The 26,334-nt window shown below is 55.7% G+C and overlaps 1 protein-coding gene and 1 long non-coding RNA gene across 5 annotated transcripts in view, besides 5 other annotated features; one reads left to right on the top strand and one right to left on the bottom strand.

The window, feature by feature from the left end:
• Positions 1–26,334, bottom strand: part of PRDM16 (PR/SET domain 16) — a 369,419-nt gene that overhangs the window by 209,181 nt on the left and 133,904 nt on the right. The window lies entirely within an intron of this gene.
• Positions 6,785–7,327: an enhancer, noted in NCBI's record as "H3K27ac-H3K4me1 hESC enhancer chr1:3138678-3139220 (GRCh37/hg19 assembly coordinates)". NCBI's record gives its function as "activates a minimal SCP1, AML or CMV promoter by ChIP-STARR-seq in primed H9 embryonic stem cells {active_cell/tissue: H9 hESC(primed)}" and the evidence as "EXISTENCE:reporter gene assay evidence [ECO:0000049][PMID:30033119]".
• Positions 7,328–7,870: an enhancer, noted in NCBI's record as "H3K4me1 hESC enhancer chr1:3138135-3138677 (GRCh37/hg19 assembly coordinates)". NCBI's record gives its function as "activates a minimal SCP1, AML or CMV promoter by ChIP-STARR-seq in primed H9 embryonic stem cells {active_cell/tissue: H9 hESC(primed)}" and the evidence as "EXISTENCE:reporter gene assay evidence [ECO:0000049][PMID:30033119]".
• Positions 9,499–10,041: an enhancer, noted in NCBI's record as "H3K4me1 hESC enhancer chr1:3135964-3136506 (GRCh37/hg19 assembly coordinates)". NCBI's record gives its function as "activates a minimal SCP1, AML or CMV promoter by ChIP-STARR-seq in naive H9 embryonic stem cells {active_cell/tissue: H9 hESC(naive)}" and the evidence as "EXISTENCE:reporter gene assay evidence [ECO:0000049][PMID:30033119]".
• Positions 10,042–10,585: an enhancer, noted in NCBI's record as "H3K4me1 hESC enhancer chr1:3135420-3135963 (GRCh37/hg19 assembly coordinates)". NCBI's record gives its function as "activates a minimal SCP1, AML or CMV promoter by ChIP-STARR-seq in naive H9 embryonic stem cells {active_cell/tissue: H9 hESC(naive)}" and the evidence as "EXISTENCE:reporter gene assay evidence [ECO:0000049][PMID:30033119]".
• Positions 11,407–12,175: an enhancer, noted in NCBI's record as "H3K4me1 hESC enhancer chr1:3133830-3134598 (GRCh37/hg19 assembly coordinates)". NCBI's record gives its function as "activates a minimal SCP1, AML or CMV promoter by ChIP-STARR-seq in naive H9 embryonic stem cells {active_cell/tissue: H9 hESC(naive)}" and the evidence as "EXISTENCE:reporter gene assay evidence [ECO:0000049][PMID:30033119]".
• LOC105378605 (uncharacterized) lies at positions 15,696–18,705 on the top strand. Of its 3 annotated transcripts, XR_007065434.1 has the most exons (3): positions 15,696–15,862; positions 16,305–16,411; positions 17,514–18,705. It is a non-coding gene; the product is annotated as an uncharacterized LOC105378605 (long non-coding RNA). The 3 variants fall into 3 exon arrangements; XR_007065436.1 differs by lacking the exon at positions 16,305–16,411; XR_007065435.1 differs by lacking the exon at positions 15,696–15,862 and having other exon boundaries at positions 16,235–16,411.

The raw sequence follows: 26,334 nt of genomic DNA, 5'->3' as shown, positions 1-26,334 counted from the left end.
TGTCCTTTAGTGCAGGAGAAAGACAGGGGCATGGGGGTGAATGTGCTTCCCAGGCCACCTAGGGGAGGCCGGGGAGGGGCCCCCGGGGCACCTGCAGGTGTGGGCACCTCTTGCCCGATCTCACAGTCCTCCCTGACTGCTTCTGTGCTGGACTGTGGGTGAACAGTGCTCCCAGGGACACCTGTCCACCCAGCCCGTGTGTGGGTAACGATGGCCCTGGGGGAATATCCACCAGTCAGTAGCGGAAGAGGCGCCTTCCTCTCGCCATGACCCTGGGCTCCTCCCTGGCTGCTTGCTCCATGGATGCAGGAGGGTTGTGTTCACGGTGCCCTGGGGAGGTGCTCTGCCCAAGTGGCTTTAGAAACGGGCACCTTCCCGCCTGCGAAGGCATTCACCCAGGAAGGCTCATCTTGAAGAGCTACAGAAATAGTCTCAGACACAGTTACTTAAACTTTATTCTTAGGGCTGGGAGAGCTGTTCTGCAGTGTGATTTATTTGCTCTTCCCAAGGACTGAAAAGAGGGGTGAGGTTGCCGGCTGTGAACCAGGCAAGCCTGTGGGAAAGCACTGCCCGTGGCGGTGATGGCTCAGCGCGTCCCGTTCAGAGAGAGAGAGATGGAGGGAGAGAAAGGAGACCCCATGGCAGGAGGCCTGGGAAGCTGGGTGGACAGTGCAGGTGGACGGGCAGAGGGATGACAGAGGGTCTCACCTGCAGAACTAGGTGGTACTGGTTCTGGAGGGATGGGCCATGGCGAGGAGCCCCCAGCTCATGAGGGATGATATGTACAGGCCGAAGCCCTGCGTTCCACAGCTGGGGCAGCTGCAACGTTGTCGAGGCAGTGGGGAGAGGGCAGGGAGACTATACAGCCCTCATTCAACTTTATGCCCATCTTGGACTCCTCTGAGCCTGGCACAGGACTTCCTCCCTGGGGCTGGCCCAGAGCTCCCTTTGGGCCGCAGGAGACCAACAGCGTTACTCTGAGAGGCGCACAAAAACTGCTTTCTCTTGACCTCCATTTCTGTTAGCTTTGTGTAGCCTCAAGTAATTAATTCTGGTACATTCCTGTACTTAACAAACAGAATTTTCTGGGGGTGGGGCTGCCTGGGGTGTGCAGATTCACCTGTGCACGTTCAGGCAGAAAACGGTGGGATCCTGTTCCACTTTCAAGGCGTCTCGTTTATCGCGAGTGAACGCAAGTGCATCCCATCCTCGGTTTGCTTCTCTTTTCTGGAAAATGCTTTGTGCTTTTCCAGGCTTCAGTCCCGGGAAGGACACACACTGGACACATCCCTCCGGGGACTCTCTTCAGAAGAGGGAGGACCCCCGCACACTCAATCAGTGCTGCCAACTGGCAGGGACAGCCTCGCCACTGGCGCTTCTGTTTTGTCTTAAAGATCTCGCTTTCCCGGAGCGGAACAACATTTACTTGGATGTGACTGTGAAGCCTGGGATACTGCGAAGAGCCCACGGCTCGAAACAGAGACTTGGAGGAAGAGCAAACTCGACCCACTCGGGTGTAGGTCATAGTGGTGTTGGCACTTGTCGTGATGGAAAAAGAGAGAACGCCGGCTCTAAAGCCCCTGGCTGCCCAGCACCTGTCCCCACAGGAGCTCTTGCCCAGGAACAGGTCCTGCTCAGGAGACCCGGCCACCCCCTGCAAGAAGCTCTTCACAGCCACCTCTTTCTTCTGATATTTGAAGAGGAGCTAAAGGGTTAGGGCTGGCGGAGACGGGCAGCCTGGGCAGCCAGCTGTGGACTTGGGTCTTTGCATTTTACCAAACCAGGTCCCGGAGCCGGGCCCTACATCTCAGGTCCTGGGGGCTGATTTGGGGCCCACGGGTCCTGATTCCCTTTTGGCACTGGCTGCTAGAGTGCACGGCAGAGCCCCGCCGCAGCTGCGGCCCCACGCTGGACTGTCACGGTCCCGCCGGCCTTACGCACCTCCAGTCTGCAGCTCCATGCCTGAGAGACACCGCAATCTTTTTACCCAATTTTCCAGCTGAGTTGACGGAGGCCCGTGGGGGTCAAGGAGCTTGCCCGGGGTCACTGAGTAAAACAGCAAAGCCTGTGGCCTCGGGACAAGGATGCAGGACTCTGGTTCCTGTCCCTAATCGCTTGGCCAAAGGCTCTTTCATAAATAATAGAAATAACAGGGCTTCATTTTTCTTCAGAGGATAAACTCCCCAAACGGCCACCGGGGCTGCGGTGTGTGAGCTGCAGGTCCTCGCCGGGCGAGAAGGCAAGGTCGGAGCTCCAGCAGCCCGGGGATGAGGGGCTTGGAGCACAGGCTGGCTCCTGCAAAGGCATTAATTTGTAACAGACGCCCGAAGAGCTGGAAAGAGCGTGGATGTTCGTTGCACGTGACAACGGCTGATTATTCATTGCTGACAGTTATTAGCCTATTATTAAACGTATGAATTGCCTCTTTCATACCACATTGCCTATCCTTAAAGTGCTTTATTAACTAACATTAACCAATCCAATTAGCAAAAGACACTGTATTTGTGTAATTAGTAATTTGAGGCTTTGTTCTGTCTTGGTCTTAAAGAGAACGGGCATTGGATGTTGATTAGCGCGGAGCACTGTACAATTAGGAGAAGTGCTCGGAGATTAGCCGACACCGTTCTCATTCCCTGGGGTCCCCGTGCGGGGACCCAGTCCTGCGAAGGCGTGCAGGGGTTTATGTCTGCGGCATTTAAGTGAATCCAATTGCTTCCTCTTGCATCCAGGCCCCTCTCTGCAGTTGGCATGGCCTTCAACGTCAGGAAGGGGAAACATTTATTTTTATTATAAATTTAGAGGCTGGGCAATAAGGAACCTTGTTGTTAAATGCTCCAAGCCTAATTCTGCAGAAAATCTCACAATCCAACTCAAGAGTATTAATTGCAAGGTTTTTTTTCCTAATCAGACGCCAAAAGGAACATTTCAGGGAAAGATGTTTTAGGGCCGCCTTTGCCAAACGGCATTTCTGTTTATGTCTCTGAGCGAGCAGAGACGGCCAAGATGGGGCCAGATGCTCTAGATAAGGGGGAAGCCGTGGAGGGATCCGGGGTGCCAGGCGCAGCCTCACCGCACACCCGAATTCAGGACCAAATGAAGAGCGGCACTCAGGTCCTGTCTGAATGACCCCACCACAACATGTCAACGTCCCCGTGTGCCCCTCGGTGTTCCTCTCAGATGCCCCCAAATTTTATTAGGTTGTAAAAGTGCAGAGCAGACCTCATGAATCTGAGCAGCCACCCCGTGCTTCTTGGCAGCTCTTAGCTCTGAACAGGAAGGAAGTGGGTTGGCTTCAGGGATAGCTGCTCCCAGCCTTACCTGCTGGCACCTGAGCTACCTGGAGGAGGAAGCTGGAGTTTCACCCAAGGGTCCTGGGAGGGCTGCCTGCCTGCTGGGCGAGGTCGAGGCCAAGGCTCTGGCCCTGTCCTAAAAGTGGCCACCACAATGATCTGGGACCACTAAGGGCTGAGGCACGGATGCAGGAGAATCAGCCTCACCTGATCCGATTTGTTCCTGCAGAGGTAAAGAAGATGGCCTTGCATTGGAGCATGCCACCGGCTTTGCCTGTGCGGTGCCCACACATCTGGCTGCCCCGGCGGCTCCGTCCCCAGGAGCTGTGTCCTGTGATCCGACACTTCTGGAGGTGGGGCCGATTGCCCACTTGGAGCCCAGATGTTTGGGCTGGGAGCAGACACTGCTGACTTCATTCCAGTGCCGGTTTTAGAGCCTTATTTCAACTCCTTCAAGTAGGATTCTCATGTGTTTTTTTTTCCCCATTCCACGCCAAAATAAGTTAGAATTCTTGAAGACCCAAAGCCTCATCCCTTAACTGATCTTCCTTGCGTTTCCTTCCTTCTGCGCGCGCGCACACACACACACACACACACACACACACACACACACACACACAGGCAAGCTGCACATCATCAGGTCAGGCTGTGGAAAGCCTGCACCCAGGACACAGAGAGTGGTGTCCACGCGCCGTGCTGGCTGGACCTGCCCTTCAGAGGCCGACGGGGACCAGCGCACACAGGCACGCACTAAAGGTAGGGCAGAGAGGAGACCTGGGTGCAAACATTTCAGAAACCTCTTCAAAATATTTGGGTTTGTCAAAATCCCAAACCGCCGTTTGCCAGGCACTTTTCCCGCTAGTGTTTGAGCCCGCGGGTATTTTAAAGGAAATGAGATCCGTGTGTTTCTGATTTATTTATACTTAACTCATCAAAATGCTGTTTTAAAGAGCTATTTTGTGTCCAAAATGCCCTCTATGCCTTTTTTTTTCCTTCCAAGCTAAAAGCCATATTTTGCCAAGCATATATGACCTTAAACTCTAACATTTTCAAGGTTCTTTTGAAAATCAAGTTCATGAAGTCCAAGCAGACCTGAACCGTAATGAAGGCGCTCCTCGCCCCCACCTCAGGAGGAACGCAACAAATGGGAAGGTGATGCCCTTGGCCTTTTCTTGCTCTTTGTCTCTGACCCAAGCACCGTATCTGCCCCTGTGGCCCCGCCAGAGTCCCTGAGATGCTGCGTCCAACAGGAAGGAGCAATTTCTCTGGAGACACAAGTCCGCAGAGACGAGATTGCATAGTCCTTCCCAGAGCTCTTGCCTGGAGCAGCTCAGGGTCTCCTCGGAACCAGGGTGGCACCACAGTAGGCATCCTCCCGCCTGGCTTCACAGTAGGGGTTCCCCCTGTCATCCTGTGGAGCCCACAGTATCTTTTATCCAGGCTGTGGCCCTCATTCCTCCACCTCATCATCCCCCTTGGGGCCGCCTAATGCAGGTGGCCAGAGGGGAACACAGTTCTGCAGGTTTAAGACAAGTCAGACCGGAGCACGTTTTCTCTTCTCTAAGGAAAGAAAAAGAAAAAGCACTGGCCGAAGCCCCGAGCGCGTGTGGAAGGGGAGAGGGAGAGAGAGTGGCTGTGGGTGCGTGCAGAAGGGGAGAGGGAGAGAGAGTGGCCCTGGGCACATGCGGAAGGGGAGAGGGAGAGAGAGTGGCAATTGGAAGCTGGTACCCCAGCGAGAGGGGCGCACCGGGGCCTCCAGAGGGAGACACTACTGGGTATTGGCAACACTGTCGCCTGACCCATAACACGGCACCCAGGTTATACACTTTTGGGTGTGATATTTATCTCTGGCTGGTTTCATGCAATGGAGTTCAATTATGAATTTGATTGCTTTTTTGTGCACGATATAAAATCCTTTATCTTCGCAGCATTTAATTGTGTTCCCTGGCAGATTTGGTATTCATCACGGCCCTGCTGTCCCCAGCCCCAAAGATAAACCATCCACGGGGCAATAAATGTCCACTCTGGTTATTGATGCTTTCAGGGAAATTGATTATCTATTTGAGGGGCAGAGCCGGCTGATGTATGGCCGCCTCTTTACCTGACACAATAGCTTCCCTGGAAGAGAAATCCCTGATCGGTGCCATAGATTTCCTATTATATATAAAATTTCCAAAAGTGATACCCGTTTATCTTAATATTTGTAAAAGGAGGAGACGCCTCAGATGGGGTTGGAAAACTGTCTTCCTCGTTCATCTGCTCACGGTGTTTAAAGTTGAAAAAGGCAGTGGACAAGGTGGGTGATGAGACAGGAGGCTGCACCCCTGTGCTGGTCCCACTCTGGTTATTCCCGGTTCTCGCTGCCTGTTCCGCCGACCCCCTCCATTCCGGGGGCTGATCCCCAGCCCTGGTATCGCGTGACCTCTTGCACCTGGTCTGTGATTGACTGAGAAGTTAGTTCCTAGGGCTGACATGAGTATGCAGACCCAACACTCAAATTGATGGTGCATTCCCCTGCAGCCCTGAGAGGTAAAGCAGGCTTTGGATGAGTTTAGTTTGAGCTCAAGAAAAAGAAAATCCAAGCAATGTTATTCTAGATTCACCATCACGTACTTGGATGGCCAGTCTTTCTCCCTCTTGCCACGATTAAGAGAAAAATGCCTGCATGCCGGGGGTGAGCGTGGGGTCAGCACCTGTGTGAGGCGTGACACTCCTGAGCTGGGGAAGATGCCTGAGCCCAGGAACATTCCAGACAAAAGATGAACTTCGGCTCATCAGCAGCGCTTCTAGCAGCCAAACGATAACAGGCATCGTAAACTCCAGAAACGTTTGCTCCCCACGAAAATCGATAGCAACTCCGTAATCAACACTGCGATGAGCCGCGCCCTAGTTAAAACTGGCCCAGGGTGTGTTCATTTGCTAATTCCCAGACTCCAGAAAGAAGCCTTGATTTTCGGAGGTTGCAGTGAGCCAAGATCGCACCACTGCACTCCAGCCTGGCAACAGAGCAAGACTCTGTCTCAAAAAAAAAAAAAAAAAAAAAAAAAGCCTTGATTTTGGCCACGGCGGAGGCAGGGCCACCTTGGCTGCTCCAAGGATACCTCTATGAACAGGAGCTTCCATCTGCAGATGCTACCCCACGCACGCTCATGTCTGGGAGTCTCTGGAGCTGGGGATGTCTTGACCGATCCAAATGCCCCTCAACCTGGTCTTGCTCCCCAACCCACCCACCAAACTCCACCCCGGCCTTGAGGGCAAACTGCACACTTTCTCCAGGCCCCTTTGGATGCAAAGTGCCCTCACATCAGGCTTCAGCTTTGGAAACCACAAGCCCAGGAATCACAGATGGATGTGGGGAAAGATCCAGAACCAAGCCTGCATCCACTGCAGTGCTGGGAATGGGGATGCTGGTCCTCGCCCCACTGCACGCTGGAGACAGTCAGGGGCCCTGCAGAGCACCCATGCCCAGTCCGCCCCAGAGTCTCACGTTGGGGTGTGGGCTGGGCCTAAGTGCCCTGGGATGGGGAGCAGGCCCTCCCCTGCATGGTAGCTGGTGCATGAGGCCTGCTGGGCAGGGCCATGAAACACACCCAGCACCAGCACCATTGGTTGGCAGGGGCCCCGCAGGTTCCACCTCCTGAAGCCGACCACAGGCCGAAGGAGAGGCTTCCTGGAGGGAAGAAAGGCGGGGTAGTTGGCAACAGGCTGCGAGCCCCCACTCCTCATGGCGGAGGGAGGGAGAGAGACCTTCCTCAGCAAAAAAGAGGAAGTCCCAGCACCCAGGCCTGCTGGAGCCTCAGCTTGTTCTTCCAGCTCAGAACGCTGGAAAATACATCTCAGGGCCAGCAGCTGGGGCACCGCTCCCTCCCAGGGGAATTACATCTGTCGTCACCAGCTCCTCACTGGGGGAGGCTGGGCTGGGTGGGTGGGAGGGAACCCACGTGGGCAGCCCTCTGGCTGGTTATTTGCTTTGTCAGGGGGTGGGACCTGAGCTCAAGGTCACGGCACCTGTGGCGGAGGCTGGCCCTGCAAACGCACCTGCAACAGCCCCTCCTTCCCCTTGGGCCTCCCTCACCTCACTTCCTGCCAGCACGGGGCCTGCAGACCTCTGCTGGGGAGCAGTGGACGCCCTCCAGGGTCTAGGGAGCAGATAAGACGCGAGACTACTTCATGAAGTTTACTGTATCCCCATCTAAATTTGTGGCTTTTCCTGCACAGATTTCTCCATACCCAGCAAACTCTGAGGATGGCTCCAAGGTTCTGGGCCTCAGGATGGGAGTGAATTCTCCATGAGGAAATTGTATATGTGTGTGGACATCTGTGTGCACATGTGTTTTGCATGCACGACCTGTGTTTGTGTGTACATGTGCCTAGACACGCATGCATGTCACTGTTTGCACACATGTGCGTCTGTGCATGTGTATGTGTGTGCATGCGTGTACATGGGGGCATCCATGTGTGTCCCACATGCCCAGGGTGGACATTTCAGGGCCGGGCAGGCATTGAGGGGAGAAGGGGGAAATGCAAGAGGCTGCCCCTGCCTCTGCTCTCCAAGCAAGCGCAGTGCATGACGTTCATTGGAAGCCAGACTTCTCTGTGACTGCTGGCCCGACCAGCAATGCTTTATTTTGACTAAAGAACATGCAGTGCTTAGAGAGTCGGTGCAGGCCGGACAAAGAGTCTCCCCAGTGAGGCCAGCTGCAAGCGCCTGTCATTTGTGCAAACACAGCAAATCCAAGCAGCTTTTGCATCTTCTGGAAAAAAGTCCCACGTACATGATCCGGTTTGATTGTCTCTGTTACGCTGAACCGGAGGCTCAGAGAGGCTCATGACTTTAAGGCCACACAGCAGGCAACTGAGCGCTGGAACCGGGAGGCCCAGAGTCCAGTCTTCTGCTCTCTTAGTCTAGAGACTGTTTCCCTGAAGAGCGGAGTGAGGCAGAGGCTGTGGGGCACTGCCCATCTTTGCCAGAGACCGAATGCTGAGGCTGAGTTGCACACGGTGAGGTTGCACACGTCCCAAGGCCCTAAGCCAGTGTCGGCATGGCCAGCTGAAATTCCAAGGCCCAGCCACTGGCAACCCGTCCCCCCTCTCCACCTCACTGACCACCCTGGGTTGTAAACATGACTCCTGCTCCCAGACAGGGTCTCCCTCTCTTGAGTCTGAGCATCAAGTGGCCTGATGGGATGGATTCTGAAATCACCATGTGTCAAAGGGCTGGAAGAGGCTGGCTCTGCCACTGTGGTGCACTTTCTCCCAAGGCTGGGCTAGGTTGGCCCTTTCCTCCCTGGGCAGCTTATCTCAAAGAGACCAAGGCGAGGAGCTTCCCCATGCAGACTGTAGCAGCACCCTTGGAGGAGGCGAGCAGATGCACGAGCCCTGCACCCTGGGCTGCCTCCCTGTTTGGGTTCCTGTTTGCCAGGCCCCTGCACACCTGTCATCCAGGGAGCTTCTCCCAGTGACACCCAGGAACTGCCAGAGAATGGGGAGAGAGACCAAATGGTGTCCTTTCAAGAAAGGGCCCCTCTAGACCATCCCCAAAGTCAGCCTTCCGTTGCATTTCAGGCCAAGGAGAACCACAGCAGCCTGGGGGTACGGCAAGACTCGAGGCCAGGTGGGCCGGCTGCTCCTGTGGCCCCTGCACCTGCAAGCAGGTCTTGGCTTTCTCAGCCCTGCCGACCCAATGTTGCCCCAACCTGTGCTGGTCCTGCGTGACCAGGTCCCAGGCCCACAGAGCTGTGGAAGGTGGCAGACGCGGGGAGGGCTGCAGGTAGCTCCTGGATTGGCCCTGGGCGTGAGTCTGAGCCAGGACAGACCACAGGTCCTGGGGCTGCCCTGGCCGGCTGCTATGATGCCTGTGACGTGGCCCCACGGTGTTGGGGACAGGTTTTGTGTGCATCGGCTGGGAGGCTGGGCGTGCTGTGGGGCCACAGAGATGTGTGGAGGAAGGTGCCGCAGACGGAGTGACGGCGTGGGCACGGCGAGGACAAGATGCATTCCTCCCGGCGCGTGTGGGCACGGAATGAATGTCTCTTCAAAATGAGGGCTATGTCTGGAGATGCAGGCAAACCCATTTAGATCCTCTGAGAGCCCACTCGGGGGCTTTTACTGTCTGAGGTTACGTGGTCAATGGTTTTCAGGAGAGGCTCATTATTACCTCAGCGCCAAACATCTGTGGCCAGCACCGCAGCCTCGCCATCTCCCCAGGGAGACTCCGCCGGTCTGGGTCCATGGCCTGTGCTAGCTCCGTGGATCCGGGGGACCTCATGCCTGTGGGGGAGCTGGCTTTGCTGAGATATCCTCCTCCGGCTTGCCAGAGGTGGGGAGACAGCGCCCGTGAGGTATGGGGGTTTCTCCCGAAGTCGGTGAAGCAGGGCAGGCGGGCGGTTACAGAGCCTTGAAATGCAGGGCGAGAGAGATGGCCGCTCCTGCCATGTTCAGCCCTTGCTCCTGCCATGTTCAGCCCTCACTCCTGCGGGACATTATCTGCACAGAATCTCCCGAGTGCAGAGCTGTGGCGGGGATCTGGGAGAATTTTATCGTCCTGTTCCCGAACACTGCAGACAGACCTGGGTAATTATTAACCCGGCTTCTGACTCTCTCTGTTCCCAAAGATGATACTGCCCTACCGAGGGCCTGCCAGCCCCCTGCGCTCTCCTCCCACGCTGGACCCCTTCCCCCGCCCCAGCTCCAAGGGGAAAGAATGAGAAGGCAGGTCCTCCGGGAGCTGGCACGGCAGACAATGTGTGTCTTGTGTGAGTAATTTAGCGCTGTGGCCAGTCAATCTGGTTTCTGGGCCCGCTGCCCTGACCCTCTTTAGAGCTGCTTGCTCTCGCCGACACAGTGTGAAACATTTTCTTTCACTGCGCTGACACTCCGCAGATTGAGACGTCAGCCTGGTCCAACTGCAGCAAATTAGCAATTTTTCTTTTGCTAATTGGAAATAAAAATGTTTGCCGAGGGAGCCGTTTGTCGGCATGCGGTTTTCGGTTTCTGTGCACCGTGAGGCTGTGTTGAAAATGCATCCTGAGGTACTGCCCACCCTGGGGTGCCCCTCACCACAAATCCTAAAGGCCCTCCTCGCGGCAGTGTGCAGAACACGCCTCTCCCCTGCAGCTCTCCGCTCAGCCCGGCACTGGACGCGAGGACCCCTCCTTTGGGAGAGCTGGGCCCCAGGCTGTGAACTTTCGGAAAGCCATTGGGATTGGCAGGTGGCAAAACTGTCTAGGGTGAGCTGTGAGAAAGCTCTTTGCAGGGAAGAGGGAGAACACGTCTCCAAAAATGCCAGCTGGGTTACGGGATTTCTGAGCAAGCGTGGTTCGGGTTGTCCACCTTGTCCGCTGAGCGTGCACCTGGGGGAGGAGCGTCCTGAGGCCTGGCCTCCAGGGCACATCTGATTTCAGCCACCCCTCGCTGCCAAGAGTAGAAAAGACCCCAGCTCGTGGGTAGAAGGTGGCAGAGGCACCTGCCAGTGTGGATAAGGGGAGGAAGCATCTTCTGCTAATTGGAACAAAGAAAGAAAGAGCCAGAAGGAAGGCAGAGAACATCCCTTTCTAAGGAAGGGCCTTGAGATCAGGTGTAGCCATTCAAAACTTGGTGAAGAGACAGGCCCCACCGATGCCCACCTGTGCGGGCGGGCACATCTGTGTGCACGTGTGCGTATGTGTGCCTTGGAGTGGGTGGGTGTGCCCAAGTGTGTCATGGCCTGTTCCCGCACACCGAGGTGGCCCCGGCTGCCCCCTGGGGATACCTGGGGAAGCTGGGGCTGCTGGCCAGCACCTAACGGGTTACTGCCCTCCCCCCTTCTCCGATAAAGCATTTGACAGCCATGCCTAATAATTCTTTCTGCTGGGTTTTTTCTTGATGTCTTTATGTGAATATGAAGCCGGAATGAAAGGCTTTGGGGGACCCCCATGAGAGAGGAGAAGTACGAACCAGAGAGGAAGAAAGAGCCCTGCGGCTCCCTGCCGAGAGCCAGGCACCTCCTCTGGCCGTCACGCCAGGCTGCAGAGGCCCTTTGTAAGTGCAGGCGACTCTTCTTCACTTGGCCACGACAATAGTGTTTTGTGGCGAGGGATGGGATGGGGGCGGCAGCGAGGGGCTCGCCCCAGGGCCTGCAGATGTTGGATGAGGGGTGATTTATTGCTCCGGTGTCCTCCTGCATTTGGCTACCTTCCCAGACCCCAACATCGGTGACAGAGGAGGGAGGGCCGGCAAGAGGGGGAAGAGGCCGGTGGCAGCAGTCCAAGGGGGCACCCCAAAACCTCGTGTGGGGAGCAGAGTTGGGAGTGAGCGAGGTAGCATGCAGGCGGCATCCCGAATACTTCTAGGGGGAAGAGCGCGCGTCCCAGCCAGCCCAAAATGAAACTCGCAGGGCCTCAAGGAAAACTGGGCTGAGTTTCTCAAGAGCTCTCCCGTGTTGAAAAAAAAGATCTACCGGGATGCACGGCACGGGGACCTGGCCCCAGGAAGAGCAGGGCCGTGAGTGAAAACGCTGCTTCTGGACAGCGTGCACTCAGCCACAGTGGCTGGGAGAACCCCTCACCCTCGCCGTAGACTTAGGCCAGCGCACTCAGCATGGCTGCCAAGCTCGACAGAGGCCAGTTTATGCTCCCAGGCACTCTTGAGATCCACTTTCATCTGGAATAAGGAGCAGAAAGGAGCGGTTTTCCTCTTGAGTTCTGACCTGGCCCAAACCAGAGAAGCCATAAATCCAACCAGGAGGGCTGTTCCCATGAGATCCCTGCTCCCATTCCAGACCAAATAAGCCGAGAAGAGCTGGGGGGCAGCCCAGCAGCTGCTGCAGCGTCTTCTGAACTGACAGCCTGCAAGCTGCCGTGCGCCCACTGCTGTGGCCGCCCCATCCCCAGCGCTAACCCAGGCTAAGGAGCTGGACGCCAGCCGCCCAGGAATGGATTCTGGGTCACTTCCAGGGAAGAGAAATCACTGCCGATCAACTCACACACGGGCGAATGCCCGTTTCACGGTGAAAGGTGTGTGAGGAGAAGGCCACCCGGGGCTTTTTATCCTGTTTGGGAATGAGCTTTGGTCACGGAGCCCTGGAGGAAAACACCACACAGAAAGCGTGCTTCTATCCACACAGAGGGTGCCGTTTCCCCTGCTGCCCTGCAACATTTGGACATGGAACAGTGCTAGGCTACGAGTTAATTCACAGAGGAACTGCCGCAATCCCAGTGGGTGGCTTCAGGCTGTCAGAGACAGTGGTGGCCCAGGGAGGGACCAGGAGCCTGGGAGGCTGAGGAAGACAGAGGTGCGGACAGTGGGCACCTGAACTCTATGGCAGTCACGGATGACTGGCTACAGGAACCTGTCCCCTCCAGTTCCATGCTGATGGCCACAGCCACAGCCCCGCCCTCTGCAATATCAAGAATGGTTTCAGCATCTCCAGTCTCAGGCATGGGCCTAGACTCTCTGATTTCGTGAGGCCAACCACAGCCTCCGGACAGTGTGGCTCCTGACTCCTGCCCCAGGTTTGGGGAGACTCTGGGATGCCCAGCTCCAGCCTGCTAGGATGCCCACCTCAGCCTTCTATGGCAGGTCATTGAGTGTGCCCAGCTGTGATGTGACAACTAGGCCTGGTTCGGCGGGGGACAGCCACCGGGGGCATCTGAAACCCACCAACCCACCAGACCTGGGTGGGGATGTGTCTGGGTGTGTCTCCCCACGCAGGCCATATTGGGGAAGGCTCTTGGATTCTCCTTCCCTGGTGGGCTCAGGGGCCTGCAGGAGCATGCATGCTCTGTGGGTCTCCTCTCTGTGGAGGCCCCTCTGGCTTCCCAGCCCCGTGGCATGGATGTCACTGGAGTGACAGCACTGTGACAACCCACTGTACTTTCTGCGGGTTGGACGCTTCTTGAACATGGCTGGTTCAGCATCTCGGGGGCCTGGACACTGCCTCGTCAGCACAAATCTCTCCCCAGCTCCTTGCTGGGATATGTGGAAACATTTTTCCCATGGAAAGAGAGTGTGGCCTTTGTCAGGGGGCCACGGCCAGCCCGAATTACAGTAAAGATTAATCCCAAACAAGAGACAGAGACAGAGACAAAGAGCATCATACACTTGGGTTTTCAATGGATGTTTTCATAAATGTATGAATAATTTAAATTATCATTGCCGAGTATTTATTCGAGTGTTTCAGGGGGAAAAATGCCTCCTCTTTTTTCTCCCTTGATTCTTTTCATTTTTGCCTCATCTCTTTTATGTGCTGCATAGGCTGTTTTCTTGCCATCTGAATCGGCCCCGGGAACAATGGGATGTATGAGGCTGAGGAGCCGGGGAAGAATGCGCCCCTTGTTGCCGACGCCGCGCCTTGACATTGATTAATGAGGGTGCGGACACGGGCAGAATTTGTGAGAGCTGAGGGGAAACCAGAGGACGTGGGGGCACCCGAGGAGGAGGGCAGGGGCTGGCAGGGGAAGGCCACGGCCGTCCCTCCACGCCCAGTGGGAAAGGGCCAAGGGAGGGGTGGCCTGGAGCCACCGTGCAGAGGAGCACTGACTCGACAGGTCCCCGGAGGACAGGGCCCCTGTGGGGTTCTGGGTTGGTCCGCTCGGTGGAGGGAGGGTGGGGCTGCAGCCAGGTTGCTGGCTCTATAGGCAGGGCCCCCACCTTCCTTCCTGCACCACTCTTTTCCACCCCACACAAACCACTCTCTCCCGCCTCCACCCATGACCCTCCTGGAGGCTCTGTTCTCCTGGACCCCAATAGGCCTTGCCTGTCCCCGGGACCCATGACCCTCCTGGAGGCCCTGTTCTCCTGGACCCCGTGGGCCTTGCCTGTCCCCAGGGCCTGGCTGCACTTCCACGACATGGCTGTTTCTTCCTGACATGGTCCCAGTGGCACCTGTGGATCATCCACACAGAGGTCGGGTTCCGCTCTGTTCTGTGCCATCTGATCCTGTTTATTGAATGACAGATTCCTTAGCAGTAGGAGTGGACTTCTTGGGGATGTCCTTTTGGTTCTGATAGAATCCTCAACCCAGGCTATCCAGGAGCCCAACACTGACATCAGGACCAACAGCAGCGATGGGGAAGCAGATGGGATGGTGTCTTTGATGATGTTTGGATACGGTCCCATTGGCTGAAAAAATACCTTGATCAGCTGACCACACAATCCCCACACACAGGTCCCCACTGTCAGGTCTGCGGCATTGACCTCTAAGATCGGTGGCCCTGAAAGGAAGGTTTGGGGGACGATGCCCAGGGTATCACACCAGGGTCTCAGGCCCTGCCCAGCCAAAAGGTCTGTATTCACCACAGAAGCATCCTGGGGCCACAGCTCCCCAACGGTCAAGATCAAGCTCATTGTAACCATCTCCCCATGTGTTGGTATCTCGTCTGATGTGGAACATGTTAGCACAGGGCCAGGCACCCAACAGGGGCCCAACACACTATTCAGAATAAGAAGAATCTGTCTCTGAGGATGATACTAACTTAGCTGAAGCCATTCTTGCCCCTGCGAGATGCTATTGTGGTAATGTATCTCGGCTCACTGCAACCTCTGCCTCCTGAGCTCAAGCATTTCTCCTGCCTCAGCCTCCCAAGTAGTTGGGATTACAGGTGTGCACAACCACACCCAGCTAGTTTTTGTGTTTTTAGTAGAGACAGGGTTTTGCCACATTGGCCAGGCTGGTCTTGAACTCCCAACCTCAGGTGATCTGCCCGTCTTGGCCTCCCAAAGTGCTGGGATGACAGATGTGAGCCACCGCACCTGACCAAGGGCTTGGAGTTCTGAGGCCTGCGAGTCTGACGGTGCTATTGGGTGGACATCAGCTCTTAAAAGCCGCCATCGCCCTGGGTCGCCTAGCAGCATTTGAACTGAGAAAGGCATTATTTTTGCATAGAAACAGAGTGTTAGGGTTGGAAGTTGCCCAGCGTGTCAGACCCTCCTCAGATCTAGAAGTTTCTGGTTTGTGTCCAATAGGAGAATGGAAGGAAAAGACGCCTGTCTGAAAAGGAAAACCATTTTCTCCATTAACTACTTTCTCCTCTTTTCTGGTAAACTTTTTACAAGGAAACACACTTTTTGCTGGCCAAGCAGAGCCTCCCGGGCAGTCCTGCATCCTGCAGACAAGGGGCGGGGCTGTGGTGGGAGAAGGATGGCAGATTCCAGCCGAGGCGGACCCAGTGGCCACACGAGACTCCGACATGTGTCTGGGCGCAGCTTGCCTGGCCGTTCTGCTTGGTGCACTGGCCACACCCTGTCACCCGCGTGCTTCTGAGTTAATGTACCAGGCAGTGACCTTGATAATGATCTGGAATTGCAGGATTAATGGGGGGTGGCAAGGCCTCCTGGGAAGGCACCGGCTTGGCCTCGGGAGTCCTTGGTCTACGGCCCTGGCTGACCTTGTTTGTAGGTGACCTGGGGTGGACGTGGTGTCCCGGAAACCCCGCTTCCTTGCCTGGGGAGAGCAGAACCTCCTGGGCCAGGCAGAGTCTCCTGGAATCCTGGGGAAATGCTGGGTAAGAACAGGAGGAGCTTGGAGCATCTCATGGAAACAAGTGCCACCTCCCTCCAGAATGCCGCACTTGCTCCTGTTCCTCGGAGAAAGAGTGAGTTCCAGGTGTCTGTGCCCCCAGGGAGGCGACAAAGGACTCTCTAGCAACCCCCCACGGGCACAACCAAACCCAGGGGGGCACCCGCACAGCTGGGGTGACTGCCCGATTGGTGACAAGCCTAAGTGGAAAATTACAGTCCTCCCAATTTTATAATTAATGACAATGGCGGAGCCGAGACGCCCAGGACCCGCCATCCCGCCCCCACACCCCTCTCCCCAGCAAAATAGTTAGGGTGATTTGTGTCAGCAAATTAAGCAGAAATGGTTGTCTCTATGACTTGATGGACATGCCATGTTTAATTCATAAAGATTTGGGAAGGTGGTTTCTTCTCCATTTCCCCCCTCACCACGGAATGGGTGGTGTTTATTGGCTAATTTGGGGATCTCCAAATCTGTGTTTCTGTTGCTGTTGGCGGTGGCATTTCCTTTTTTGGCAGAGGAGTTGCTGCAAGCACATAGGATGGGATTTGCCGCGTCTTCCTGAGCTCGGCCTCCCGGGGAAGCGTGCGGCAGGCGGGCGAGCCGACCCCGCTTTCCTTTCTGGGTGAGACCTGTTTCGTGGCCACAAAGGTCCCACTGACTTCCCTGTGTCCAGCTCTGCTGCCAGGGAGCTCTTAAACGAGTACCTGGGGAGGGGTCACCAGCAACATGAAAAAGGAAAGGCTCGGGGCCTCTGTGCCAGGAGCAGGGAAGAGGGCCCCTCGCCAGGTGGGTACTTAAAATCTGAGGCTGAGCTGGAGGGAGAGGGCAGAGCTGGGGTCAGGGAGGGAGCAGGCAGAGCCACGCCGAGGTAGCGGCGGAAATGCAGGTGCTGGTGGGAACCAAGAGGATGGGGCCTCCCCATCTCAGTTTGTGTGAAGCCCATCCACAGTGGCAGAGAGGACCGCAGCGAGGGGGCCGGGAGGATGAGCGGGAGGACCGCAGCGAGGGGGCCGGGAGGATGAGCGGGAGGACCTCAGCGAGGGGGCCGGGAGGATGAGCGGGGGCCTCCATTCCACCTTCAAAGACTCTGGGGTGCAGGCGTCCAGCCAGGACCTCTGAGAGGCGCCCAGAACATGGGGACGGAGGCAGGAGGCTGTGAGGAGAGAGGGGCCTTGGCCACCTCTGCTGTCCCTACTGCAGGCCAGCGTCCGGCCGGCTCCAGGCCTGGACTCCCAGAATTCAAAGGTGCCCCCGCTCAGGCAGCCCTGCCCCCACCGCCCACTCAGGCCAGGGCCAGAGGGGTGTCAAGATCACCTGAAAAGGCAGCCCCTGAGGGTGACCAGAGCCCCGAGCCCCAGCGGGGACAAATGAGGAGCTTAACTAGCACAAGGCCGCATAAAAGGGAACGGGAGAGGAGGGACAAAGCCTCACCCATGTGCTCTTTTGGGCTTTGTGCGCACTGGCCCCTTTCCCAGTATATCAGGCTCCCAGTGAATGGAGGCCCGCGCCGCGCAGTCCTTCCGCAGCCCTGACGGTTTCACGAGCCGGTGAATGGAGTGCAAATTAGCAGGGTCCCCGGGAGCCTTGTTACTGTCACTCCCAAACTGACGGCCCAAAGACGACGCGAGGATTAATCCACCCGGAGAACTCGCCCATTATCCAGGCAAGGTAGGAAGCTATTTATTGTCCCCTCTTTCATGTCTCCTCCATGTTGCCCACTGCAGCGAGCCTTTACAGCAGAATGGAGCAGCCGCGGATACACACCCGCTCCCACCCACACACTCACGCCGGGCCCAGGCCGCCAGGCGTGGATGCACGCGCACGCACACGCATGCACACGTGCACACGCATGGACACGCTCGTGCTGCAAGGCCATGGGCCACCGTGTGCTGTTCCGTGCACATTTATTCTCCTCTGAGGACCCAGGCCGGCTTGTCCGTGAAGTGCCAACATTAGGGGCTGTGCAGGGCAGGGTGAGCGAGCACTGACCACCAGCGCCGGCCCCCACTGCTGCGGCCAGTGGGCTGGACGACCAAGGACGAGGCCGGGGCCTTGAGACAAAAGTCCCAGCAATGAGGCAGGGACCTCACAGCAGAGGGAGCTGGACCCAACCTGTTTTCAAGACACGAATCTGCTGCAGCCCCCGACGGGCCCCAAGAGACTCTGCCTTGAGTCTTTTCTTAGGAGTCCACCCACGGCCGCATCTCCAGCTAGATCAAGCCCACGGCTTTTCACACTGCTGGACCAGACACCACGAGAGATGTTCGGTCAACACTGTGCATATCTCAACTTTCAGGTGGACACTGCTGCCCGGAAATGACTTTCACTTATTTTCAATCGGTCTACTTAGAAAAAGAAAATCGGCATTGGCTACGCTGTGACCAAGACAGCTTAGGGAAGAAGGGCAGGGTGGCTGCTGACCGCAGGCTCTCAACAGACCTGTGTACAATGGGTGGGCAAGCAAGTGTCCATGAGTGCAGAGACAGACAAGCAGATGTCTAATGAAGGAGGAGACAACCAGCATCGAACAAATGACCAAGAAATAGATGCCTAGTGGGTGAATTGATCAGCAAATGTATACACGTGTGCATAAACAAATCAATATCTAATATCTAAACTAATAAATGTATGAACAAATACATGCCTAATGAGTGAATAGACAAATATCTCATGAATGCGTGGACAAATCGATATCTAATGAATGGACAAACAAATGCATATCTATGAATGGATGAACAAATACATATCGAATAAATAAATGAATAAATACCTAATAGATATATGAACAGATATATCTCTAATGAGTGAATAAACAAATATCTCATGAATACGTGGACAAAGCGATATCTAACGAATGAATGAACAAATGCATATCTATGAATGGATAAAGAAATAAACATCTCATAAGTGAATGAACAAGTGGATGTATATCTTGTGAATGAATAAACTAATGCATATCTAGAGGCTAAGGGTGGCCCCTTCCAGCCCTGTGAACCCATGACATAAGTTCAGCCACAGATTCTCTTGAATTCTGATTCCCTCAACTTAGAACATGTGCCTGCTATTTAGAGCATGTCTGGGAAATATTTTATCAGCCTTTGCATGTGGCTTGAGTAAGTGGAATCAGACGTGAAAGTCACACGCGTGCACAGACACACGCGTGCACGCACACACTTCCATGATGCCCACAGGCTCTGGGCAGGGCTGTCTGCAGCTGTGGTTCCAGCTGGGAGCCTGGCTTCTGAGCCTGTGCGGCTCCTTCCTGAATCTGAGGGGGGAAAGCCTTCCAGGGCCTTGGTTTCCCCATGGATCCCAGGGAGCATGTCCTCATCTCCATGCTCAGAGCTGGATCAGGAGTGATGCCTCGAGCTGCCTTCATGTTGAATCCTAGTGCAAGGATCCTGCAAAGCTTCAGGAGCCAGACCAGAGCCCACCTGCCTGTGAGTGCAGGCTGGCTGCCCTAAAAGCCCAGAGTAACATGAAGCAGCTGCAGGAACACATCGGCACATAGCGAGCTGGTTTCCGCTGCTGCAATTATCCAATATTTATTGAATAGATTTCTGTTCTAGACATCCATACCTGGGTTACAGTTAATAGTAAGATGTTAATAGTAGTCACTGATTTTCTGTAGTTGAGAAAGAAAATTGGCTTTAATGTGTCAAATACCTTCCTGCAAATGTCTCTAGAAAATGCTACGATATTTTCCATGTTAAGTAAGAGTTCTGTGAAAGGGCTAACACAGGTGCACCTTTTGGAAGTCCCCGTTAACCTTAGATCAGGAGGCAAATAACTGTCACTACTTTTCCAGCATGCCCGTCTTAGATCCCCGGGTTCTGCCAGTTTGGAAAACGCTGGACCAAGTCCTGGCTGTCGTGCTCAGGAAACTACAAGACAAGTTCCTGGCCCAACCCTCAGGGAAGGGGCTCTGTGGGGGGCGGGAGGGCTGTGGTTCCTGGTGGCCGTTGACAACTAAACCTCTCCAGAAGCAGGAGGTGGCATTTGTGGCCAATTGGTCTCGACAAAGGATCCCGAAGTGAGGTTCCAGGACATTCCACTGAGGCGCTCAGCTTCCACGCGCACCCACAGGGAGCTTCCTTTGGAAATGTGCAGGAGCAGAACCACGGCCTCCCAGCGAGGCCTATTCCACACCCAGGCCTGGCCTCCTGCCTCCCTGGCTGTCCCGGGGGACACAGGCATTCACGCGACCTTCACAGGCCTCCCCAGGAAGAAGGGAGAGCTGGCTGGCTGCAGTCCGTCCCAGGTGACTCGGGGCAGGTGTGCCAGTCGGGACCGGCCACGTCGGAGCTGCGTGCCCCGATGTCAAACGTGCAGTGCTGTCCCTGCCCACAGTTACTGTTCAGCGTGACCGTGCTTAGTAAATCCCACTCTGAGATTTATTTCCTGTCCTTCTCTTCTTGTTGCTTTTCCACTCAGTCATGGGCCTTTACCAAATAAATGATTAATTTTTTCTTACCCCTGGAACCAAAATGTTCCCATATTTTTGACTAGGATATTCAAAGCCACCTGCTGTCCACCCTGCCCCAGGTTTAGGTTGGCACAGGGCATTCCCTTCTGAGCTCCTTCTGAATTCCCACTGCTCTCTGTCCCTAAATACCCTTGAGAGTTAAGTCCCAGCCACCTGCTGAGAAGCAGGTGGTCACTACATGACAGACGGAGCAAGTCACTCCCTTGATGTGGCGAGGGGGACATCTGTTCATGGGAAAAGCCAGGTTTCTTCTGTCCCCAAGACTTTCCACCCACTCGTGGGGACCTGGGGGGGCCTCTGGACAGGCACTCAGGGAGCAAGAGGAGATGGCTTCAGGGGGTGGAGATGGTTCCAAAGGACAAACCCCACAAAGGGGATGGTGGCCCATACCTTTGACCAGTGGCTCTCCATTACAGCAACTCTGCTGCCCAGGCAGACACCTGGCGGAGATATCTGGAGACACTTTCTTTTCTTTTCTTTTCTTTTCTTTTTTTTTTTTTTGAGACGGAGTCTTGCTCTGTCACCAGGTTGGAGTGCAGTCACGTGACCTCAGCTCACTGCAACTTCTGCCTCCTGGGTTCAAGCGATTCTTCTGCCTCAGCCTCCCAAGTAGCTGGGATTACAGGTGCCCACCACCACGTCCAGCTAATTTTTGTATTTTTAGTAGAGACATCGTCTCACCATATTGGTCAGGCTGATCTCGAACTCCTGACCTCGTGATCCACCCTCCTTGGCCTGCCAAAGTGCTGGGATTACAGGCGTGAGTCACCGAGTCAGGCCTCTGGAGACATTTTCAATCGTCGTCATCACTCGGGGTGGCCTCGGGCACACTAAACACCCTACAGTGCAGGGCCAGAGAATCGCTGCCCGCACGTGAACCGAGCCAGTGGGGAAACTGCTTTAAGCAAAGGTCGGAACAAGATCCCGGGAAGAAGAGGTCCCCTTGTCAGGGAGGCTCCATCTGGAGCCCCGTGAGGCTTCAAGCGTGGCCACTCTGGCTGGTTATGGGGCCCTCGGGCTGTAGACGGAGCTGCCATGTGGATGCAGAGGTGCCGGGGCAGGTGCTGGCTTGGGCTTTCCCATGCAGAGGCCCCCATGATCCCTGGAACAGCCTAGGGAGGCCGGGACTCTCGCAGATGAGCAAACCAAGGCACAGGAAGATGCAGTGATTTCTTCAGGATGCCACGCGGACAGGCGGCCGGGCTAGGGTCCACGCCTGGGTTTCTCAGCCGCTGTGCCAGCAGCTGCTTTATGAAGACCCAGGGGTTTGCTCCAGGGGTCGGGGGCTTCCTGCCTTCTCCTCTGGTTCCTGAGAACTGTGACAGCCTTGGTGAGAGACAGCTACTCTATTTCACACTCGAAACTCTGGAGACGGCCTTGGAGTCAGATGAGCGCAATTATTGGGGTAATTCTGACTCTAGAGAGGGGGATGGAAGAGGAGAATCCTGCCTCATTCTGCGAGGCGGAACTCCTTTCCTCAGCTCCCGGGAGACCACAGCCAGCACGTGGCCAAGGCCGGCGTCCCCAGCACGCAGGGACCGTTACTTTCACAGAATGCCTGTTTGAAGAGCGAATGCCAAGTACGGGTGTCTCAGGTGACAGGTGTGCACAGGGCAAGAAGAGGCCAGAGAACTGGGCAAAGGGACCTCTGGCTGCTGCCGCCACGTGGGCAGCTCCAAAGAGCATTGTCTCCTGTATCACGCCTGCCTGGTGACTTAGTCACAAATGTGCCTGCTTCCCCTTTAAAACCGTCCGTGGAAACACTCTGGCCTCTGGGGGAAGCAAAACTTCACTTCTCTGCCATAAACAAATGCCAATGTTCCCAAGGTCGTAAAACTTGCCCTTAGCAAGGAACCTGGCTGGGCCGAAGCATCCGGGGGTATGCGCCGTGGGGAGCTCGGCAGTGGAATTAACCAAATGACCTCGGGTTTTGTAGCTGCGAATTTATTTCCAAGTCATAAAAAGGGATCAATGGCGCTGGGCTAGGAGGTTTTCTGGGTAGCGCTTTCAGAGATGGCAAAGGGCGGGGCTGGCGGGTTGGCACCGTGAGAAGGCGCCCCCCAAAGCTCCCCGCACCAGGACACCATCCTTCTTGACTAAGCCACAGCTGTGTCTCCTCTGCTCTGCATCCCATGGGCCTTTTCCACCTTCCTGGAAGCAGGTCCATGTGGGGACATGCGGGCGGCATTGCTGTCCTCTATGTCACCTCTCGGACAGGTCCCCTGGGTCGCCGTCTGCCCGCCCTGCTTCCTGGGCCGACCGCCCCTCCTCCTTTCATCCCTTTCTACTCCACCCAGCTGCACAGGTCCCAGGTGTCAGGCTGTGTCTCCCTCTGCAGAAAACTCGGATTCTTGACCAGCCTTGGGCCAGCTGGTGCCGTGTGACCTTGCCGGGCCCATTTCATGGGGTGGCTCACTCTTTGTCATGCCAGCCTCGCTCTGCCCCTCTTGCTCAGATGCCACATCTGGGAAGCTACTGGTCCAGGCACGGGTCCCAAAGCCTCAGACCCAGCTCACCCTAGGCCACGGGTTCCTACAGGTCCTCCATGGAAGGGCCGGGAGGGGTGTGTGCACAGGAGCGTGGGAAGGCATGCGTGTGTGTCCGGAGGGTGAGCAGACTCAGGAAGGGCCACGTGCACCTTCTATTCACTCAGCAACATCACTTTCTGAGGATGCGTGAAGGCGTGTGCGTCTATCCAGCACCGGGACCTCACGCCTACACTCCAATCACTTCCCGTCTCGGAGCTGCCTGGAGGTCACGCCTTCTGCACCAGACACGCTTTCGGGATCCCCAGTGCCCCGAGAGGAACCCCGTGTTGCACACACAGCAAATACACGAGAGCTTGCTCATCCCCAAGGGCGTGGGTCCAGGCCCACTGGTGGTCTCTCTGGGAAAGGGCCCTCTGTGGGTGGTTCACAGGGAGGATCTCCAGAGGAGTGGCCTGGCCAGGTCAGTGTGGGCCACTGGCTTAGTGTGGGGTGTTGGTTCTCCCAGAGTAGGTTCACCCCAGCTCTGTGGCCTCCGACAAGGGGACTTGCTGAGAAAACGGGGGCACCAGTACTAGTTGGGGCACCTCTGTTGTGAGCACCGGTCATGGGGAACGCAGGTAGGGGGCTGTTAGCCCCGGTCTCGCTCACACACAGCTGGGAGGGCAGCGCTGGGGCGCGCTGCTGTTTTCTGCAACTCCCTGAGTCAGGGCAGGGGGCTGGGGGCTCCTTCGGCATTCAGATCCCTGGGAGAGGGTTAATTGTGTGGGATCCGGAGATTCAGGTGGTTCCATCCAGTCCATGCCGCTGCACCGGCTTCAGGGTTGGGAGGTGGGTGAAGAGGCAGGGGATGCAACTTGAACTCAGATCAGCTGCCCCTGGGGCAATTACCGAGGCCTGGCCAGGAAGCCGGTTCTAGCCTTGCCCCTGGACTGCCCAGCCCCCAACCTCACACATACCACCTTCCCTTTACCTCCACCGAGCCCGCCCTCATAACCAGATTCCACTTCCTTCTTAATCCTTATTTTCTTTAAAAAATGGATTAGGAAAATCTCATCTGGAAAATTAATTAATGTATGAATTCAACAAATATTTACTGAGCACAGCACTTTGTTAAGTATTTATTTTCCTATGTAACCTGCTGTGCCCTGCCCCCCACCTCTGTTTTCCTGGCCTTTTGGGTTTCTGGCTGGTCCATTTCTGTATTTCATGGGTTTCTCTCCTCCTTCCAATAACATTTTTTTCTAATTCAGCCATTAGGATACATTTCTTTCCTATGCAGCTGGCCACACAGGCACATCTTACATCTCGGCATTTTCCCGGGTGTAAGTGGAGTGACCGGATGGCTGACGAGGGGCGGTCTCCCCGGCGGGGTGGGTGCTCTGGTGAACTTGGGGCCGAGGGAGCTCAGAAGGCGCCTTGGGGGTTCCGGTGGGTGCCCTGTGGCTGCACCATTCCTGCTGCCCGTCGGGGGATTATTTCCAATGCCCCCTTCCCCTTCTGCCCCTGGCCCCCCGGCTCTAGGTAAGAACATACTCTGAGAGCAGCCCCGCCCCCACCAAACAAAAGTGAACTTGCCCACCCTTCCCGGGAAGGGGACGGGAGCCTTTCACGGGCAGTGAATGGGGCCCTCATTTAGGCCGCATTATACCCGGGCCTGCGTTTCCCCTTCCCTTCTTTACCCCATTCAGGGGACTTCTGACTTCAACTAATTCGATAACAATCCCGCGGGGCCTTCCCAGCTCCCCGTTCGGAGCACATTGTCCCGGCGAGGGCCCCCCCCAACGGGGGTCCCACTCTCCAATTAGCCAACCGCTGGGCTCCTATCCCTCCACTCCTTTCCTGCCTGCCCGCCCATTTTTTAACCATTTCGTTTTTGAATTTCACTCCCAAGGGCCTTCAAGGGTGAGCAACCCACAGCCGCAGGTTCACAAACCCAGGGCCGGTCGGGCCAAAGACAGAACACACGATCGTGGTCACACGTCTACGTACACGCAAAGTCAGGCTGTCGGCCTGGCTTCTGAAAGCCTGCACCATCCTCAAAGAAGACTTTAAAAACTACAAATAACGGAGCAGCCGAGCTATTGGCATTCCCAAAACCTCACCCACACACTGGTTCAGAAACGGAGCCACGGGCTCCCCTGGGACAGGGGCAGGGCTAGAAGGAATTCGGAGACTTCCCTGGTGGCCTCTGCTCTTCCAGGAGGGTGTGTGTCTCTGGGACGGTAAGGTTCCCTCTCTAGAAACTGTAGGGATCAGTGTGGGATTCCTTCCCATGTTTGAAATGTTCACATGACGTCGTTTTACCTCCAAATCAATTTTTTTTTCTGTCTGAAAGTTGTAGGAGCCCTGCGGGGAGCAGGCGGGGTCCACAGTTACCCCAATTTCCACTGCCCTCCCCCCACACAGACGTTTCATCTGTGGAAGTCACACCCACACACACTACAGGGGCACGGGTATCTGTGAGCGGCCAAGTCTGCTCTGATGTTTATTTCACTAACATTATCTCCAAATGGAAAATACTGGAATTGGCTAAAAACGCCGGCCTTAAAAAGGCATCTTACTGTTAAGACGTGGGTTGGCACCACCGTTCATATGTCACTGGCCCTGAGTTCTAATCACTTCTGGACCTATACACCTCCCTTCCTAATCCCGGTGTGGTCCCCTTCGAGTCCGCAGAGGGGGCCTGTCTGGGAGGTCTCAGGTGCCAGCATTTGCTTCAGGGACGTGGGGACCAGGTGTGCACTGGGGCACCGCCTTCTGTCACCTGCTATACCTGGAAATGCCCAGGCCCAGATAGTTGATGTCTAAGGGATCTATGTAAATTGTGCCCCCCCCGAATTCACCTGCTGAAGCCTTCACCTCCAGGACCTGAGAACGCGGCCTGAGTTGGAAACAGGGTCTTGGGAGATGTGATGAGTTAACGCAGGTAGGGTGGTCCGAATCCAATATGACTAATATCTTTACCCAAAGGGGACATGTGGACACAGACACACACGCAGGAAGGAGCCACGTGAAGATAAAGCCAGAGGCCTCGAGGGCACCGTGTCTGCAAGCCAAAGCATGGGGAAGATCTGCACCACACCCTGGCCCCCCCGGGGAGAGAAACGCACGGACCCCACCCCAGAGGCTTCTGCGGGAGTGAGGCCAACACCTCCATCAGGGGCTTCTGGCCTCCGGACCTGCCATCTCATAGGCAGGCCATGCAGCACATGGCACCTTGCGGCAGCGCCCCTACGGCCCTAATACGGGCTCATAAGCACCTGCCTCTCAGTCACAGCAGTGTGCCAGGTACTTTTCACTCTTCATTCACCTAAGCTGGGTTATTAGAACACAAACATAGAATGAGAACTCAACGGTTGTGTGGGTGGCAAGGTAACTTTCTCAGAGTGCCTCATCATTCACTAAATCCACCTGTGGCGTGGGACGCAACCATCTCAAGGATGACCGCCAAAGCCCTGGCCCCCCACCACCCATAGCCTAACTTCTTTGAGAAAATCAGCAAAGCAACAGACGACGAGGTTCTCAGAGAGTGGCTTTTCCACCTCAGCCCGGGGTTGGGGGTGGTGTGCA

This window comes from Homo sapiens, chromosome 1, assembly GCF_000001405.40.
Source record: "Homo sapiens chromosome 1, GRCh38.p14 Primary Assembly".
NCBI classification, from domain to species: domain Eukaryota; kingdom Metazoa; phylum Chordata; class Mammalia; order Primates; family Hominidae; genus Homo; species Homo sapiens.
This window is presented reverse-complemented; position numbering and strand designations above follow the sequence as displayed.